At 48.1% G+C, this 16944-nt stretch overlaps 1 protein-coding gene across 6 annotated transcripts in view, besides 5 other annotated features; it reads left to right on the forward strand.

The window, feature by feature from the left end:
- Positions 1 to 16944, forward strand: part of WDR88 (WD repeat domain 88) — a 43686-nt gene that overhangs the window by 10666 nt on the left and 16076 nt on the right. For 3 of the 6 annotated variants that reach the window (NR_135565.2, XM_011526449.3, NM_173479.4), the window contains exons 3-7: positions 2065 to 2153; positions 4866 to 4929; positions 5993 to 6131; positions 8402 to 8531; positions 13576 to 13763. Coding sequence is in view for 4 of the 6 variants with exons in the window: in XM_011526449.3 (XP_011524751.1) it covers positions 2065 to 2153; positions 4866 to 4929; positions 5993 to 6131; positions 8402 to 8531; positions 13576 to 13763 (610 nt within the window). In the remaining 2 variants the exon portion in view is untranslated. Of the gene's footprint in view, positions 1 to 934; positions 1015 to 2064; positions 2154 to 4865; positions 4930 to 5992; positions 6132 to 8401; positions 8532 to 13313; positions 13402 to 13575; positions 13764 to 16944 lie in introns of those variants that run through there. The other 3 variants (XM_047438166.1, XM_011526450.3, XR_007066581.1) reach the window with 3 other exon arrangements.
- Positions 4130 to 4299: an enhancer, noted in NCBI's record as "experimental_51125 CRE fragment used in MPRA reporter constructs". NCBI's record gives its function as "activates a minimal promoter by MPRAs in K562 erythroleukemia cells, with activity observed for both the introgressed and non-introgressed 19:33637900 variant alleles {active_cell/tissue: K562}" and the evidence as "EXISTENCE:reporter gene assay evidence [ECO:0000049][PMID:34662402]".
- Positions 5251 to 5420: an enhancer, noted in NCBI's record as "experimental_51126 CRE fragment used in MPRA reporter constructs". NCBI's record gives its function as "activates a minimal promoter by MPRAs in K562 erythroleukemia cells, with activity observed for the non-introgressed 19:33639021 or rs13345755 variant allele {active_cell/tissue: K562}" and the evidence as "EXISTENCE:reporter gene assay evidence [ECO:0000049][PMID:34662402]".
- Position 5336: a transcriptional cis regulatory region, noted in NCBI's record as "Neanderthal adaptively introgressed variant 19:33639021 (GRCh37/hg19 assembly coordinates) or rs13345755 in the experimental_51126 CRE". NCBI's record gives its function as "modulates activity of the experimental_51126 enhancer by MPRAs in K562 erythroleukemia cells {active_cell/tissue: K562}" and the evidence as "EXISTENCE:reporter gene assay evidence [ECO:0000049][PMID:34662402]".
- Positions 8503 to 8672: an enhancer, noted in NCBI's record as "experimental_51137 CRE fragment used in MPRA reporter constructs". NCBI's record gives its function as "activates a minimal promoter by MPRAs in K562 erythroleukemia cells, with activity observed for both the introgressed and non-introgressed 19:33642273 or rs12327849 variant alleles {active_cell/tissue: K562}" and the evidence as "EXISTENCE:reporter gene assay evidence [ECO:0000049][PMID:34662402]".
- Position 8588: a transcriptional cis regulatory region, noted in NCBI's record as "Neanderthal adaptively introgressed variant 19:33642273 (GRCh37/hg19 assembly coordinates) or rs12327849 in the experimental_51137 CRE". NCBI's record gives its function as "modulates activity of the experimental_51137 enhancer by MPRAs in K562 erythroleukemia cells {active_cell/tissue: K562}" and the evidence as "EXISTENCE:reporter gene assay evidence [ECO:0000049][PMID:34662402]".

The raw sequence follows: 16944 nt of genomic DNA on the forward strand, positions 1-16944 counted from the left end.
GGTGGATCACGAGGTCAGTAGTTCGAGACCAGGCTGGCCAATATGGTGAAACCCTGTCTCTACTAAAAATACAAAAAAAAAAAAAAAAAAAAAAAAAAAAAGGCCGGGGGGCGGGAATAACGTGGGAGAATTGGAAGATGCAAGGTGGACTGCACAGGTGGCAAGTTACCATCCCATCCCCTGGGCAATGACAAGGGGAGAGGCTCCCTTGCCCCTGGGGTCTCTCAGTCACCCCAGAGGATTAAGAAAGGGTTTAAGTCTCCCTGAAAGCTGAGTGCAATGGCCCACGTCTGTAATCCCAGTGCTTTGGGAGGCCGAGGTGAGAGGGTTGCTTGAGGCCAAGAGTTTGAGACCAGCCTGGGCAATGTAGCAAGACCCTCATCTCTATAAAATAAAAAATAAAAAATTAGCCAGGCATGGTTGTGCACTTCTGTAGTCCCAGCTACTCGGGAAGTTGAGATGGGAGGATTGCTGGAGCCCAGGAGGTGGTGCCTGCAGTGAGCCATAATTGCACCACTGCACTCAAGCCTGGGTAACAACAGAGTGAGATCCAGTGTCAAAAAAAAAAAAAAAAAAAAAAAAGGCTGGTCACAGTGAGTCACGCCTGTAATCCCAGCACTTTTGGAGGTTGAGGCAGGAGGATCGCTTGAGCCAAGGAGTTTGAGACCAGCCTGGGTAATATAGTGAGACCTTGTTTCTACCAAAAACAAAAAAATTAGCCAGGCGTGGTGGCGTGTGCCTATGGTCCCAGCGACTTGGGAGGCTGAGATGGGAGGATGGCTTTGGCCCAGGAGGCCAAGGGGTGCAGTGAGCCGTGTTCTTGCCACTGCACTCCAGCCTGGGTGATAGAGCAAGACCCTCTCTCAAAAAAAAAAAAAAAAAGTTTGGTAGTTTTTCTCATATTATTACAAAGGTAATATGATTTTATTACAGGAAACACATGAAAACACAAGAAAGAAAAAAACTCATCTTTCCATGACCCCAAAGTTAACGGCTGTGAAAATGTTGTCATAGGTATTTTTTTCTTCTCCACGAACATCCACATACATTTATGAAACTGGGACTGTACCAAAATACTGATATGTACTCACCATAAACGTAGACGCCAAATATTGTCACATCTCCTTTATTTTCCAACTGTTTATTAGACCCCCTTTCCCTCGTTCATTTGAAGTCTAACCAGTATTTCCCCTTTAAATTGTCTGGGTCCACAGGGATGGGGTCGTGCTTCTAAATGCCCAGTGTGGAGGGAGTGGGCCGATCTCTGCACAGCCGCTGTTCCTGCTCTTGGCCACTTGGTGTCACTGTCGAGTCTAAAACTGCGCAGCCCCACGGACACTGATCATTCTGGCGCTGCCCTCAGTTGGCCCCGGCCCGCCCAGAGTGCGTGCAGGGGCCTGGATCCCACAACCCAAGACGATCATTTTCTTTTCTTTTTGAGACGGTGTCTCGCTCTGTCGCCCAGGCTGGAATGAAGTGGCGCAATCTTAGCTCACTGAAACCTCCGACTTCCGGGTTCAAGCGATTCTCCTGCCTCAGCCTCATGAATAGCTGGGACTACAGGCGCGCGCCACCACACCCAGCTAATTTTCATATTTTTAGTAGAGACGAGGTTTCACCATGTTGGCCAGGCTGGTCTTGAACTCCTGACCTCAGGTGATCCACCCACCTCGGCCTCCCAAAGTGCTGGGATTACAGTCGTGAGCCACCGCGCCCGGCCTGGAAGATATTGCTAGATTCTGCAAAGACTTTTTGGCCAGTAGGAAAGGAAAACACAATCTGTTTGCAGCTCTGCCCCCAGCATGGCCAGTTTCCACCTGGTGTCTGGAATTGCGGGGTAATTTCCCATGGATGCCAGGAATGGCAAGGGTGTCCTTCCCGCTCAGGGGACGGACATGTTGCAAAGTCCTTTCCTCTTTCGGAGCTGAGTGAGAGTCCCAGGACCTTGGAGTTCTCAGATTTTGCTACCAGAGATAAGCTAAGGGCTAATGTTGACCTCGATTTACGACTTCAGCAAACACGGCAGTGACCACTCTCTTCTCCTCTCTCTCCCGTTGATTTGAGGATCCGGTGGACGGTTCTGTGGTTCGCGATTTTGAGCACAGGCCCAAAGCTCCTGTTGTAGAGTGCAGCATCACCGGCGACAGCAGCAGGTGACCTTTCCCTCGTCTTACACTGGGAAGAGGGAGGGTGAGCAGGCATGCCATAAATAGGTATGCCTGTGACATTTTTGTTTTTGTTTTAAGTAATAGATATGGGGTCTCACCATGTGGCCTAAGCTGGTCTCGAACCTGTGGTCTCAAGCGATTCTCCTCCTGCATTGGCCTCCCAAAGTGTTGACATTACAGGCATGAGCCACCACACCTGGGCTTTGTGAATTTTTATTTTTTATTTAGACAGGATTCTGCTCTGTTGCCCAGGCTGGAGTGCAGTGGTGCAAACATGGCTCACTGAAGCCATGGACTCCTGGGCTCAGTGATCCTCTTGCCTCAGCCTCCTGAGTAGCTGGGATTACAAGTGTGCACCACCACACCTGGCTAATTTTTGTATTTTTGTACAGATGGGGTTTTGCCATGTTGCCCAGGCTGGTCTCAAACTCCTAGGCTCAAACAATCCTGCCTTGGCATCCCAAAGTGCTGGAATTACAGGCATGAGCCACTGTACCTGGCCTGTTTTGTTTTTGAGATAGGGTCTTGCTTTGTCACCCACGCTGTAGTGTACTGGTATGAAAATGTAAGTTTCATGGGAATTTATCTTTTTTTTTTTCTTTTTTGAGACAGAGTCCTGCTCTGTTGCCCAGGCTGGAGTATAGTGGTGCGATCTCGGCTCATTGCAACCTCCACCTCCTGGGTTCGAGTGATTCTCCTGCCTCAGCCTCCTGAGTACCTGGGACTACAGGTGCACACCACCACAGCTGGCTAATTTTTTTATTTTTAGTAGAGAGGGGTTTCACCATGTTGGCCAGGCTGTTCTCGAACTCTTGACCTCAGGTGATCCACCCACCTCGGCCTCCCAAAGTGCTGGGATTACAGGTGTGAGCCACCATGCCCACATGGGAATTTATCTTATATAGAGGACAAACTTTGCCACAGAAACGTGCCATGTAAGAAGACAAGGATACATTTATGTTTTTTTGTACAAGAAAACATTTCAGAACAAAATAAGTAGTCTCTTAAACTATATCCCTGTGAAAAGACAGACATGGGAGCAGAGAGGAAAACGATTGATCCTTGCGGGTGTAGAGATCCCTTTAGGAGAGGAAAACAGCTGGGAGGCTGAGGCGGGCGGATCACCTGAGGTCGGGTAGCCTTGAACAAGGCTAGCCTGACCAACATGGAGAAACCCCGGTCTCTACTAAAAATACAAAATTAGTCGGGCGTAGTGGCACATGCCTGTAATCCCAGCTACTCGGAGGCTTAGGCAGGAGAATTGCTTGAACTCGGGAGGTGGAGGTTGTGGTGAGCTGAGGTCACGCCATTGCACTCCAGCCTGGGCGACGAGTGAAACTCCGTCTTAAAAGAAAAAATAAAAAAGAAGAAGAGGAAAACAGAAGAAATGCTACTTTGAAAGCCCTTGATATAAAGGAGCATGTGTGGGTGGCTGAAGAGTACTGGGGATGATTGTGCTGTGGTTCCTTGTGTGTTAGGTCCTATTTCCTTCCTTCCTTCCTTCCTTCCTTCCTTCTTTCCTTCCTTCCTTCCTTCCTTCCTTCCTTCCCCTTCCTTCCTCCCTTCCTCCCTTCCTTCCTTCTTTCCTTTTTTTTGATGGAGCCTCTCCTGCCCACGCTGGAGCGCAGTGGCGCAATCTTGGCTCACTGTAACCTCCGCCTCCTGGTTCAAGAGATTTTCATGCCTCAGCCTCCTGAGTAGCTGGGATTGCAGGTGTGCACCACCATGCCTGGCTAATTTTTGTATTTTTAGTAGAGATGAGGTTTCACCATGTTGGCCAGGCTGGTCTTGAACTCCTGACCTCAGGTGTTCTGCCCGCCTCAGCCTCCCAAAGTGTTGGGATTACAGGCATGAGCCACCGTGCTTGGCTGGTTCTCTCTAGTTTCAGTGAGAACCGAATGGTCCCTAGGGTGGGTGATGGAGCAGTCTTTTAAAGATGATTGTGTTAATTATAATCTTGGTCCTAAATTAGAAAAATGAAAAAAAGTCTTCATAGAAGTCATAGGCAGGCCAGGCGTGGTGGCTTATTCTTGTAATTCCAGTACTCTGGGAGGCTGAGGTGGGAGGATCGCTTGAGGCCAGGAGAGACCAGCCTGGGCTCTGTCTCTAAGGAAAAAAAAAAAAAGAGAGAGAGAAAAAAATAGCCAGGCATGATGATGAGTGCCCATAGTCCCAGCTACTCAGGAGGCTGAGGTAGGAGGATCACTTGAGCCCAGAAGCTCAAGGTGGCAGTGAGCTAGGATTGCACCACTGGACTGCAGCGTGGATGACAGAGTGACATCCTGTCTCAAAAAAGAAAAGGAAAGGCGGGGGGCGGGGGAGGATGGAAAGGACCACAGACCTAACTGTCTCTGTTGTTAAGAATCAATGTTTGGCCAGGCGCGGTGGTTCACGCCTATAATACTAGCACTTTGGGAGGCCGAGGCAGGTGGATCACTTGAGGTCAGGAGTTTGAGACCAGCCTGGCCAACATGGCAAAACCCCGTTTCTACTAAAAATACAAAAATTAGCTGGGCGTGGTGGCGGGCGCCTGTAATCTCAGCTACTCAGGAGGCTGTGGCAGGAGGGTCGTTTGAACCTGGGAGGTGGAGGTTGCAGTGAGCCGGTATTGCACCACTGCACTCCAGCTGGGGCAACAGAAAGACACCCTGTCTCAAAAAAAAGAACCAGTGTTCGTCATCGTCATCTTATTTCCAGAGTCATTGCCGCATCCTATGATAAGACAGTGAGGGCCTGGGACCTGGAGACAGGCAAGCTGCTGGTACGTATGCCTGTCCAGTGGGGGCGTTGGTTGCAGCCCAGGGGCTTGACCAAGCCTCAGGCAGCTTTGGGTTGGACCCTGGGTAGGGGGAGGTGATAAAACTCCATTCTTCTAGGAAGGAGGCATGTTCCTGGGGATGGAAGTACAGATGTGAACTGCACCCACAACAGCCATTGCTTGCAAAAAGTCTGGAGGGTGAGAGGGTGGGCACTGGGGGAGGAAGACTCCTGGAGGAGGCGGATGGAACCAAGGCTTCTGCTTGAAAGATGGGATGGGTTTGGATACACAGAAAGAAGCCAGAATTGGGGGTGGGGTGTGGGGGCTGGTATTCCAGGCTCCCCGGTAAGATGTTTGGATTTGATTAGACAGGAAGTGGGGCTGAGGCCATGGGACAAAGGCCATGTGCCCCCAAGAACCAGGGTTCTGGCCCTTACCAGTCTGTTCTCTTTATATCTTGGAGGGGGTCACTCTCCGTCCATCCCACAGGCTCAAGACTCCCACTCGGCCCTGCACCCCTTCCAGGCACCCTCAGCTCTGCTCAGGGGCCTCCTCGGGGTCTCCTGCCTCACCCCTGCCGTCCCTCCCTCTCAGCTCCTGCAGGCCTTTTCTGTCCCTTCCTCCTTCCTTTCCTTAAAAAACAACCTTTCTTGTTAGTGCAAAGGTCAGTTTGTATTCATTGTAAACATTTTTAGAAAGACAAGATAAGCCAAGTTTTTATTTTATGATGACGATGATGATGATTTTTAGAGACAGGGTCTTGCAAGCTCTGTCACCCAGGCTGGAACACAGTGGCGCCATCGTAGCTCACTGCAGCCTCAAACTCCTGGGCTCAGATGATCCTCCCGCCACAGCCTCATAAGTAGCTGGGACTACAGGCGAGCACCGCCACACCTGGCTCATGTTTTACTTTTGTAGAGATGGAGATCTTGCATGTTTCCCAGGCTAGTCTCAGGCTCCTGGTCTCAAGCGATCCTCCAGCCTTGGCCTCCCAAAGCACTGGGTTTACAGGTGTAACACACCACACCTGGCTTAAAACAACCTTTTGATTGCTGGCTCATTTCAGTGGAAGGTCAGGTATGATACCTTCATCGTCTCCTGTAAGTTTTCTCCTGATGGTAAATACGTGGTCTCAGGCTTCGACGTGGATCATGGAATCTGCATAATGGACGCCGAGAACATCACCACCGTTTCCGTCATCAAAGGTGAGGGTGTGCGGGCTCCCTGTATCTTCAGTCTGCCATAGGAATAGCCACTTGTCACTGACTGACGGTGACCTTCCATTGCTTTATTTGGTGAAACTGTAATGGTATGAAGCACGTCATTAAAGCTGGGACACTAGGCTAGGTGCGGTGGCTGGGATTGCATCTGTAATCCCAGCACTTTGGGAGGTTGCTTGAGCCCAGGAGTTTGAGACCAGCCTGGGCAACAGGGTGAAACCCTGTCACTACCAAAAACAATACAAAAATTAGCCAGGTGTGATGGCATGCACCTGTAGTCCCAGCTGCTTGAGAGGCTGAAACGGGAGAATCACTTGAACCCGGAGGTGGAGATTGTATTGAGCTGAGATTGAGCCACTGGACTCCAGCCTGGCAGACAGAGTGAGACTCCATCTCAAAAAAACAAACAAACAAACAAAAAACAAACAAACAAACAAAAAAACACACCAAAACTGATCCTCTTCAGTTAATGCTTTTCCATTCATTCAGTCTTGTGCTTTTAACAAAGGACACAATGTTCGGCTCCAACCTCATGTGGTCATTGACAGCCTAATCTTTTATTGAGGGGAGGCTCAGGCTTCTTAACATTAACATTAACAGAGTTAACATTAACAGAGTCTTGCTATGTTGCCCAGGCTGATGTCAAACTCCTGGCCTCGAGGGATCCTCCTGCCTCAGCCTCCCAAAGTGAGGGATTATAGGAGAAGCCCCCTCACCCGGCCTACCTGTATCTTTTTTTTTTTTCTTTTTTGAGATGGAGTCTTGCTCTGTCTCCTAGGCTGGAGTGTAGTGGTGCGATCTCGGGTCACCTCAACCTCCACTTCCTGGGTTCAAGCAATTCTCCTTGCCTCAGCCTTCTGAGTAGCTGGGATTACAGGCACCCACCACCACGCCCAGCTAATTTTTGTATTTTTAGTAGAGATGGGGTTTCACCATGTTGGGCAGGCTGGTCTCGAGCTCCTGACCTCAGGTGATCTGCCCGCCTTGGTCTCCCAAAGTGCTGGGATTACGGGCATGAGCCACTGTGCCCAGCCTATTTTTAAAATATAGGACTTAGTAATTGTTGTATGACAGTTTCCTGGTTGGGACACTGTGTGATGATGATACCACATGTTCCCATGGGGGCTGCTGGGTGAAGGACATGGGTGATTTCTCTGTTATTCCTTACACCTCCATGGGAGTTTACAATTATCTTAAAATTAAAGTTAAAAAAATGTGTAATCATTGTAAAGACATTCATTATGGGCTGGGCGTGGTGGCTCATGCCTGTAATCCCAGCACTTTGGGAGGCCGAGGCTGGTGGATCACCTGAGCTCAAAAGTTCAAGACCAGCCTGGCCAACATGGTGAAACCCTGTCTCTACTAAAAATACAAAAATTAGCCGGGCGTGGTGGCGGGCACCTGTAATCCCAGCTACTCGGGAGGCTGAGGCAGAATTGCTGGAACCCAGGAGGTGGAGGTTGCAGTGAGCCGAAATCGCGCCTCTGCGCTCCAGCCCAGGTGACAGAATGAGGCCCTGTCTCAAAAATAAAAAAATCATTCATTATGTAAATAAAAAAGCAAAAGGCTGCTGTGTCTGTCCTGTCTCCTCCCCAGAGGCACCTGTTATGAACCATACATTGCTGGGCAGTCTTCCTGAACCCTGTGTGTATGCCTGTGCGTACAAGTGTTTGCACACACAACACTGCTTCTCATATGTGCTTTGTGTTTCTTTTTATCGATGTGGCACTATGCCATGTGCACTGCCCCACAGCTTCCCTAATAGCCCCTAAGAGCCCACTTGACACTCTGACCCCACCATGCTTCAGACTCCAGCTTTGCCCCACACTGCTCCATGATCCGGCCCAGGCCTTTGCAAGCACTGTTCCTTCTTCCTGGAGTGCTCTTCCATTTCTGCTTCCCTTGCTGGCTTTTCGGGCCCTTCCTGGACCCCTCAGGGTGGCCAGGCTTATGTTGTCTGGGCCTTGGTGGCCCGTGCACTCATCTCATGATCTGTGGCATGTGGCAGGTCGTTGCCTGGTCCGGGGTGTCTCCTCCATCAGACTGGCAGCTCTGCGGGGGCAGGGAACCTGCTGTGCTCCCGGTTCAAAGCCTGGGACATAGTAGTCACTCAGGAATGTTTGTGCAGGTGTGTAGCTCCTGATGAAAACTGGAATTGTGTTTTGTAATCGTCACTGGCTGGGGAAGTCGTGGGAGTCCTCCAGCCCAGCAGGTGGAAGGCGTGGTCTCAAGTCCCTTTCCTCCGTGTTCTGCAGATCATCACACAAGGTCCATCACGTCATGCTGCTTTGACCCCGACAGCCAGAGGGTGGCTTCTGTCTCATTGGACAGGTGCATCAAGATCTGGGATGTTACATCCCAGGCCACGCTGCTCACCATCACTAAGTGAGTTGGACCCCAGGAGGCCAGAAGGGAGTTTGGGTGGGGCGTCCCCATTCATGACTTCCTGAATTCCACATAAGCCAGCATCCATGTGGACACGTCTGTAGCTTGGTCATAGGTGCTCTGAGGAGGCTGGGGACAGGCAGGCAGGAGGGAGCCATCAGCTGTGGCCTGTGGGCTGGGCTGGGCCTCAGATGCATTTGTTTCAATGTGAGCCACTAGTGGAAATCATTGTGCAGAGAAGTCCACAAAAGGTGAAGTTCCAGCATCTCCTGTAAAATGGGAAGGTCTGGCTGGGCGTGTGGCTCATGGCTATAATCCCAGAGCTTTGGGAGGCCAAAGTGGGAGGATCACTTCAGGCCAGGAGTTCAACACCAGCCTGGGCAATGTCACAAGACCCCATCTCTACAAAAAATTTAAAAATTAGCTGGGTGTGGTGTCACACACCTGTAGTCCCAGCTACTCAGGAGGCTGAGGCTGGAGGATTGCTTGAGCCTAGGAGTTTGAGGCTGCTGTGAGCTATGATTGCACCACTGCACCCCAGCCTGGACAATGAAGTAAGACCCTGTCTAAAAAAAATAAATAAATAAAGTGAATTCAGTCGTTTTGGAGATATTACATTATCATTTAAAAAAATTTTGGGGCTGGGCTCGGTGGCTCATGCCTGTAATCCCAGCACTTTGGGAGGCCGAGTGGGGCGGATCACCTGAGGTCAGGAGTTCGAGACCAGCCTGGTCAACATAGTGAAACCCCACCTCTAGTAAAAATACAAAACTTAGCTGGGCGTGGTGGCGGGCACCTGTAATCCCAGCTATTCAGGAGGCTGAGGAAGGAGAATAGCTTGAATCCGGGAGGTGGAGGTTGCAGTGAGCCAAGATTGTGCCACTGCACTCCAGCCTAGGTGACAGAGTGAGACTCTGTCTCAAAATATATATATATATATATACACGCACACAACATAAAACATGATATTTTAACCATTTTTAAGTGTGCAATTCTCTGCCATTCATTACATTCACAGTGTTGTGCAACCATCACCACTATTTATTTCCAAAATGATTTCATCATCTCAGACAGAAGCTCTTACCCGTTAAGCAATAACTCCCCATTCCCCATGCCCCCAGCCCTGGGTAATGTTTATTCTACTTTCTGTCTCTATGAATCTGCCTATTCTAGATATTTCATATAAGTAGAGTCATACATTATTTGTCCTCTTGTGATTAGGTTATTTCACTTAAAATAATGTCCTCAAGGTTCATCTGTGTTGTAGCCTGCATCAGAACATCAGAACTTCATTCCTTTTTTTTCCTTTGAGACTTAGTCTCGCTATGTCCCCCAGGCTGGAGTGCAGTGGTGCCATCTTGGCTCACTGCAACCTCTGCCTCCTGGGTTCAAGTGATTCTCCTGCTTCAGCCTCCTGAGTAGCTGGGATTACAGGCGCCCACCACCACACCTGGCTAATTTCTGTATTATTAGTAGAGACGGGGTTTCATCATGTTGGCCAGGCTGGTCTCAAACTCCTGACCTTGTCATCCACCCACCTCGGCCTCCCACAGTGCTGGGATTAAGAACTTCATTCCTTTTGATGACTGAATAGTACTGCATTATAGGTGTACATACCACATTTTGTTTATCTGTTCATCTGTTGATGACCTCTTAGGCTGTTTCTACCTTTTAGTTATTGGGAATAATGCTGCTATGAACACATGTACATGTAACTTTGAGTTCCTGCTTTCAATTCTTTTTATTTTATTTGATTTCGAGACAGAGTCTTGCTCTGTTGCCCAGGCTGGAGTGCAGTGACGTGATCATAGCTCACTGGAGCCTCGGATTCCTAGGCTCAAGTGATCCTCTTGCCTCAACTTCCTGAGTAGCTGAGACTACAGGTGCACACCACCATGCCTGGCTAATTTTTAAGTTTGTTTTTTTTTTTTTTTTGCAGAAACGGGGTCTCATTATGTCTCCCAAGCTAGTCCTGAACTTCTGAGCTCAAGTGATCCTCTCACTTTGGCCTCCCAAAGTTCTGGGATGACAGGTGTGAGCCACTGCACCTGGCCTGTTTTTAATTCTTTACTCTGTATACCCAGGAGTGGAATTGTTGGATCATATGGTAATACTGTGCTTAGCTTTTTCAGGAGTGGGGATCTTGCTTATTAATTTTGCACTGAGAACTGAAAATGATATAGCCCGACCGACATTATGAATTTTTTAAATCCTCTAGCAAGATCAGCTATATCATTTGCAGGGTGCAATCTCGGCTCGCTGCAACCTCCGCCTCCCGGGTTCAAGCAATTCTCCTGCCTCAGCCTCCCGAGTAGGTGGGACTACAGGCGCCCGCCACCATGCCCAACTAATTTTTGTATTTTTAGTAGAGACAGGGTTTCACCACATTGGCCAGGCTGGTCTCAAACTCCTGACCTTGTGATCCACCCACCTCGGCCTCCCAAAGTGCTGGGATTACAGGCATGAGCCACAGTGCCTGGCCACACTGTGGTTTTCATTTACACTGTCATTCATATTGTTTTTCTCCTATAGGTAAAAAGTCATTTCTCTCTTGCTGCTCTGAAGATATTTTTGTTGTCCTTAGTTTTCTGAAGTGTAATTATGTGTCTGGGTGTAGATTTCTTTGGATTTATCCTGTTGGGTTTTACTCAGATTCTTGAATCTGTAGGTTTATATATTTTGCCAAATTTGGTAAAATTTCAGCCATTTAAAAAAATTACTTTTAAAGTTGACTCCATCTTGTCCAGAACTGTACGTGCAGCATAGCCATTTTCCCCAAACTTCTGTACAGGTGAAATGGCCTTCTACGAGAAGTGGGATTTATGTGAAATGAGAGTCCATAGAGATACCTCTGGTTTATTTATTTATTTATTTATGTATTTATTTATTTAGAAATTGCTATGTCTTTTTTTTTACTTTAAGTTCCAGGACACATGTGCAGAATGTGCAGGTTTGTTACATAGGTACACATGTGCCACGGTGGTTTGCTGCATCTATCAACACGTCATCTAGGTTTTAAGCCCCGCATGTGTTAGGTATTTGCCCTAATGCTCTCCCTCCACTTGCCTCCCACCCCCTGACAGGCCTCAGTGTGTGATGTTCCCCTCCCTGTGTCTATGTGTTCTCACTGTTCAACTCCCACTTATGAATGAGAACGTGTGGTGTTTGGTCTTCTGTTCCTGTGTTAGTTTGCTGAGGATGATGTCCCTGCAAAGGACATGATCTCATTCTTTCTCATGGCTGCATAGTATTCCATGGTGTATATGTACCACATTTTCTTTATCCGGTCTATCATTGATGGGCATTTGGGTTGACACGAAGTCTTTGCTATTGTGAATAATGCTGCAATAAACATACGTGTGCATGTGTATTTATAGAAGAATGATTTATAATCCTCTGGGTATACCTCTGGTTTAAACCTCAATGACAGTGTCTGGCTGCTGGGAGAGCTTGCAGTCAAACCTCCATGATATGCCAGCATGGTTCTTAGCTCACCAGGCACTGGGAATTGGTGAGGTTTATCCCGGATGGCCCTGCGAAGTTGACATTTCTTCTCCTTTGGCGTTGCTCAGTTTGTGCCTTTCAAAGAACCAAAATGGGTTCCAAAACTCTGATCTGAGCTCTAGAAAATTGTTTTGCTCAACCTTTTCTTCAGGTCAAATGATTGATTTTATGATCCAGGCTACTCAGAGAAAACTCTGCTTACAAGAGGAGGTGAGAATCACAGGAGAAAGACATTGAGGGTTACAAACAAAAAGTGGCAAAATACAGACAGGCTTTTTATTATTATTATTTTTCTGAAAAAGAAGATGCTTAAAAATTGGAATGAATAACTTCATTTTTTTTCTGAGATAGAGTCTTGCACTGTTGCCCAGGCTGGAGTGCAATGGCACAATCTTGGCTCACTGCAACCTCCACCTCCTGGGTTCAAGTGATTCTCCTGCCTCAGCCTCCAGAGTAGCTGGGACTACAGGCATGTGCCACCATGCCCAGCTAATTTTTATATTTTTTGTAGAGATGGGGTCTTGCTATGTTGCCCAGGCTGGTGTCAAAATCCTGGGCTCAAGCAATCCTTCCACCTAGGCCTCCCAAAGTGCTGGGATTATAGGCATGAGCCACTGCACCCAGCCAAATAACCCACAATTTTATTAATTAAATATACAACACTGAAATATACTTGAATAGCACTGAAGACAAATGAGGATAGGAGTGAGAAAAAGGGAGAGTGAATAGTTGGGGTGGAGAAGCAGAGGAGTAAGTAAGAGAGGGGTGGAACAGGGGGAGACCACGCCTGACATTGTTGGGGGAAAGATGGGGAGCAGGAGAGAGCCTCTGTGTAAGCGCCACCCAGCACCAAGCCCCAAAGGCTGTCTGTCAATCAATCACTCCTGACACCAGCTGCTTTTCCCTCCAGCGCCAAGGGAATACTGCAGAATCTTCCCAAATGAGGGCAATTTGTGCCCCAGTGGACATTTGACAATGTCTGGACTCATGTTTTGTTGTCACAACTGGGTGTGGGGGTTCCTGGCATCTAGCCAGGAGAGGCCAGGGATGCTGCTCCACCTCCTACAGAACACAGGACGGCCCCCACAACTCTGAGTGACCCAGCTCAAAATGTCCACCTTGGTGTGGTTGGCCCAGTGCCGTGGCTCACGCCTGTAATCCCAGCACTACTTTGGGAGGCCAAGGCAGGTGGACCACTAGAGCCTAGGAGTTTGAGAGCAGCCTGGGTAACATAGCGAAACACTGTCTCTATTATTATTTTTCTAAAAATTGGTGCAGTCGAGAAATGCTGGAACAGCGTGACAGTCTGAGCAATTCACATCTGGACCATGGTAGGCAGTGATCAAAGGCATGATGAACATGAGCTCACAGGAGATGCTGACCCCCACTTAGGTATGTCTTCAGGTCCTCTTGGGGCGAAGTGCTAGCATGTGCAGCCCGACCATGAGCTCACAGGAGAAAATACCCCCGGCTTTAGGTATGTCTTCAGGTCCTCCAGGAGCAAAGCGCTAATGTGTGCACCCCACCATCTGTGTTTCAGGGCACATTCCAATGCAATCTCAAACTGCTGTTTTACCTTCAGTGGCCATTTCCTGTGTACAAGCTCCTGGGATAAAAACTTAAAAATATGGAACGTCCACACAGGGGAGTTTCGAAACTGTGGAGCCTGTGTGACTCTGATGCAGGGCCATGAAGGTTCTGTCAGTTCCTGTCACTTTGCCAGAGACAGTGAGTAATTAACATGCAGAAGGCCTCCATTCCTGTGGGAGTGCTGGGCAGAGTTCTCCATGTTCCGTTCAAATGGACAGAGAGGCAATTTCCAATGATGCTGACAGGGAGGGCGGATTCTTCCCCACGAGAACAAAAAACCCAAGAGGGAAGACCACAGGTACCAGTTTACAGTGGTAGAAACTCAGCTCAATGTGGCGTATGCAACCAAAGAAATTGATTAATCCTGTAATGGAAAAGTCCAAGAGCACGTCTGACTTCAGGCATGGATGGGACAAGAGAGTCAATGCTGTTGGGAACCCAACCCTTCCACTCTGTCTTTCAACCTAGCTTCCCTCTGTATCAGCCTTTACCCCCAAGGAGGCAAAGATGGCCGGATGAGGTGCCTTATGCCTGTAATCCCAATGCTTTGGGAGGCCAAGGTGGGAGGACTGCTTGAAGCCAGGAGTTCAAGACCAGCCTGGGCAACACAGCAAGACCCTGTCTCTACAAAAAAATTAAAAAATTAGCTGGGTGTGGTGGTGCACACCTGTAGTCTCAGCTCTTCAAGAGGCTGAGGTGGGAGGATCACTTGAGCCCAGGAGTTTGAGGCTGCAGTGAGCTATGATTGTGCTACTGCACTCCAGCCTGGGCAACAGAGTGAGACCCTGTGTCTAAAAAGAAAAAAAAAAAGGCCAGGCACAATGGCTCATGCCTGTAATCCCAGCACTTTGGGAGGCTGAGGTGGGCGGATCACCTGAGGTCAGGAGTTCAAGATCAGCCTGGCCAACATGGTGAAACCCCATCTCTACTAAAAAATACAAAAATTAGCCAGGTGTGGTGGTGGATGCCTGTAATTCCAGCTATTCGGGAGCCTCAGGCAGGAGAATCGCTTGAACCCGGGAGGCGGAGGCTGCAGTGAGCCAAGATTGCACCACTGCACTCCAGCCTGGGTGACAGAGCGAGACTCTGTCTCAATATATATATATATGTATATATATGTGTATATATATATATATGTATATATATGTGTATATATATATGTATATATGTGTATATATATGTATATATGTGTATATATGTATATATATGTGTATATATATATGTATGTGTATATATGTGTGTGTGTATGTATATATGTATGTATGTGTGTGTGTGTATGTATGTATATATATATATATATATATATATATATATATATATATATATATATATAAAATTAAAGAGGTAAAGAGGACCTTTAGTGGTCCAGCTCAGCCTAGTTCTGGCCCCTGGCAGTCCTGGAGAAAGAGACCTTCTGTCTGATGGTGCCAGAACAAGTCCCAGGGAAGACTCCCATTGGCTCAGCTTGGGACACATGTCCATCTCTTAATGAATCACTTAGGGGGCAACGAAAGCCTCTGATTGGCCAGGTCTGGGTGACTTGCCCACCTGCAGAGCTAGGGTTGGGGTCAGAACCCCCTGATGCAGAGGGACTAAGAGTAGGCAAGGAGTGTTTCCCCACAGGAAATTGGGAGCTGTTGCCAGATAAAGGGACATAGAGGTGAATGGGGGCAGTGACAGGAAGCCACCGCGGCTAGCCAGCTCCAGGGAGGGAAGTGGGTGCTCTTGACACTCAGGAGCCAAACATATGCTCCCCTATCCTGGTGAGAAGTGGGGCTTGCTCTGTGTGTCTGGGGGCCTCAGCTGGCACACATGCCACTGGGGCCTGGCTTGAGAAGCACTAGGGTGCTTCTGGGCAACTTTCCCTCTTCAGCAGCACCCCTTGTCTAAGTCCCACTGTGAGGCACCCTGCCAGCTTCTGTCCTTGGCTTTATGGGGTTCAGAATCACATGCAGTTGAGCCAAAATTGTGCCACTGCGCTCCTACACTCTAGCCTGGGTGACGGAGTGAGACTCTGTCTCAAAAAAAGAAAAAAAGAAAGAAAAAAAAAAGAATCACATGCAGTTAATCATTATTATTCCTGATTCTGTATTTGTGAAGTCACCTACTTGCTGATATTTATTTGTAAACCTAAAGTCAACATTCATGGCACTTTCAAGGTCACTCACAGATGTGAAGAGCAGCAAAAAATCTAAGTCACCTCCCAGCTGAGGTTGGACAAGGCAACACTCTGCCTTCTTGTTTCACCTCCCACGTGGTAAAATGTCCTTTTTGTGGTCTATTTAGTGCCACCATTTTTTTTTGTTGTTGTTTGTTTGTTTTGCTCCCTCTGTTGCCCAGGCTGGAGCGCAGTTGCGCGATCTTGGCTCACTGCAACCTCTGCCTCCTGGGTTCAAGCGATTCTCCTGCTTCAGCCTTCCAAGTAGCTTGGATTACAGGTGCGCACTACCATGCCTGGCTAATTTTTGTATTTTTGGTAGAGATGGGGTTTCGCCATGTTGTCCAGGCTGGTCTTGAACTCCTGTCCTCATGTGATCTGCCTGCCTCAGCCTCCCAAAGTGCTGGGATTACAGACGTGAGCCACCACACCTGGGCTTTCTTTTGCTTTTTGTTAGTGATTTTGCTGTGTAAAATGGCTCCCTTGGCCGTGTGTGGTGGCTCACAGCTTTAATTTCAGTGCTGGGGGGGTGCTGAGGCGGGAGTATTGCTTGAACCCAGGAGTTTGAGATCAGCCTGGGCAACATAGTGAGACCCCATCTCTACCAAAACAAAAAAAAAAAATTTAGCCAGGTGTGCTGGCACCTGCTTGTAGTCCCAGCTACTTGGTAACTGAAGTGGGAGGATTGCTTGAGACCAGGAGTTTGAAGCTGCTGTGAGCTGATTGCATCACTGCACTCTAGCCTGGGTGACAGAGCAAGACCTTATCTCTAAAAATAAATAAATAAATAAATAAATAAATAAATAAATAAATAAATAAATAACAAATAAAATGATCCCTAACCACAGTGCCGAAGTGCTGTTTGCCGTTCCTAAGCGCGAGAGTGCTATGATGGGGAAAATGCATGCATCCATTCAGGCATGAGTTACAGCTGTTGGTTGTGAGTTCAATGTAAACAAATCAACAGTATATATGCAATAAGGTGTCTTTAAACAGAAACACACATAAAACAAAGTTACGTACTGATCAACTGATGAGAATGTGACCAGAGCTCGCAGGAAACTGACCCTGTATTTCCCCTAGGAGCGATGGTTCAGTATTCACTAATTCAGTGTCTGCAAAAACTGCAGAGGCCCCCAACCTTTCTGGCGCCAGGGACAG

The sequence above is a fragment of the Homo sapiens genome, chromosome 19 (assembly GCF_000001405.40).
Source record: "Homo sapiens chromosome 19, GRCh38.p14 Primary Assembly".
NCBI classification, from domain to species: Eukaryota; Metazoa; Chordata; class Mammalia; order Primates; family Hominidae; genus Homo; species Homo sapiens.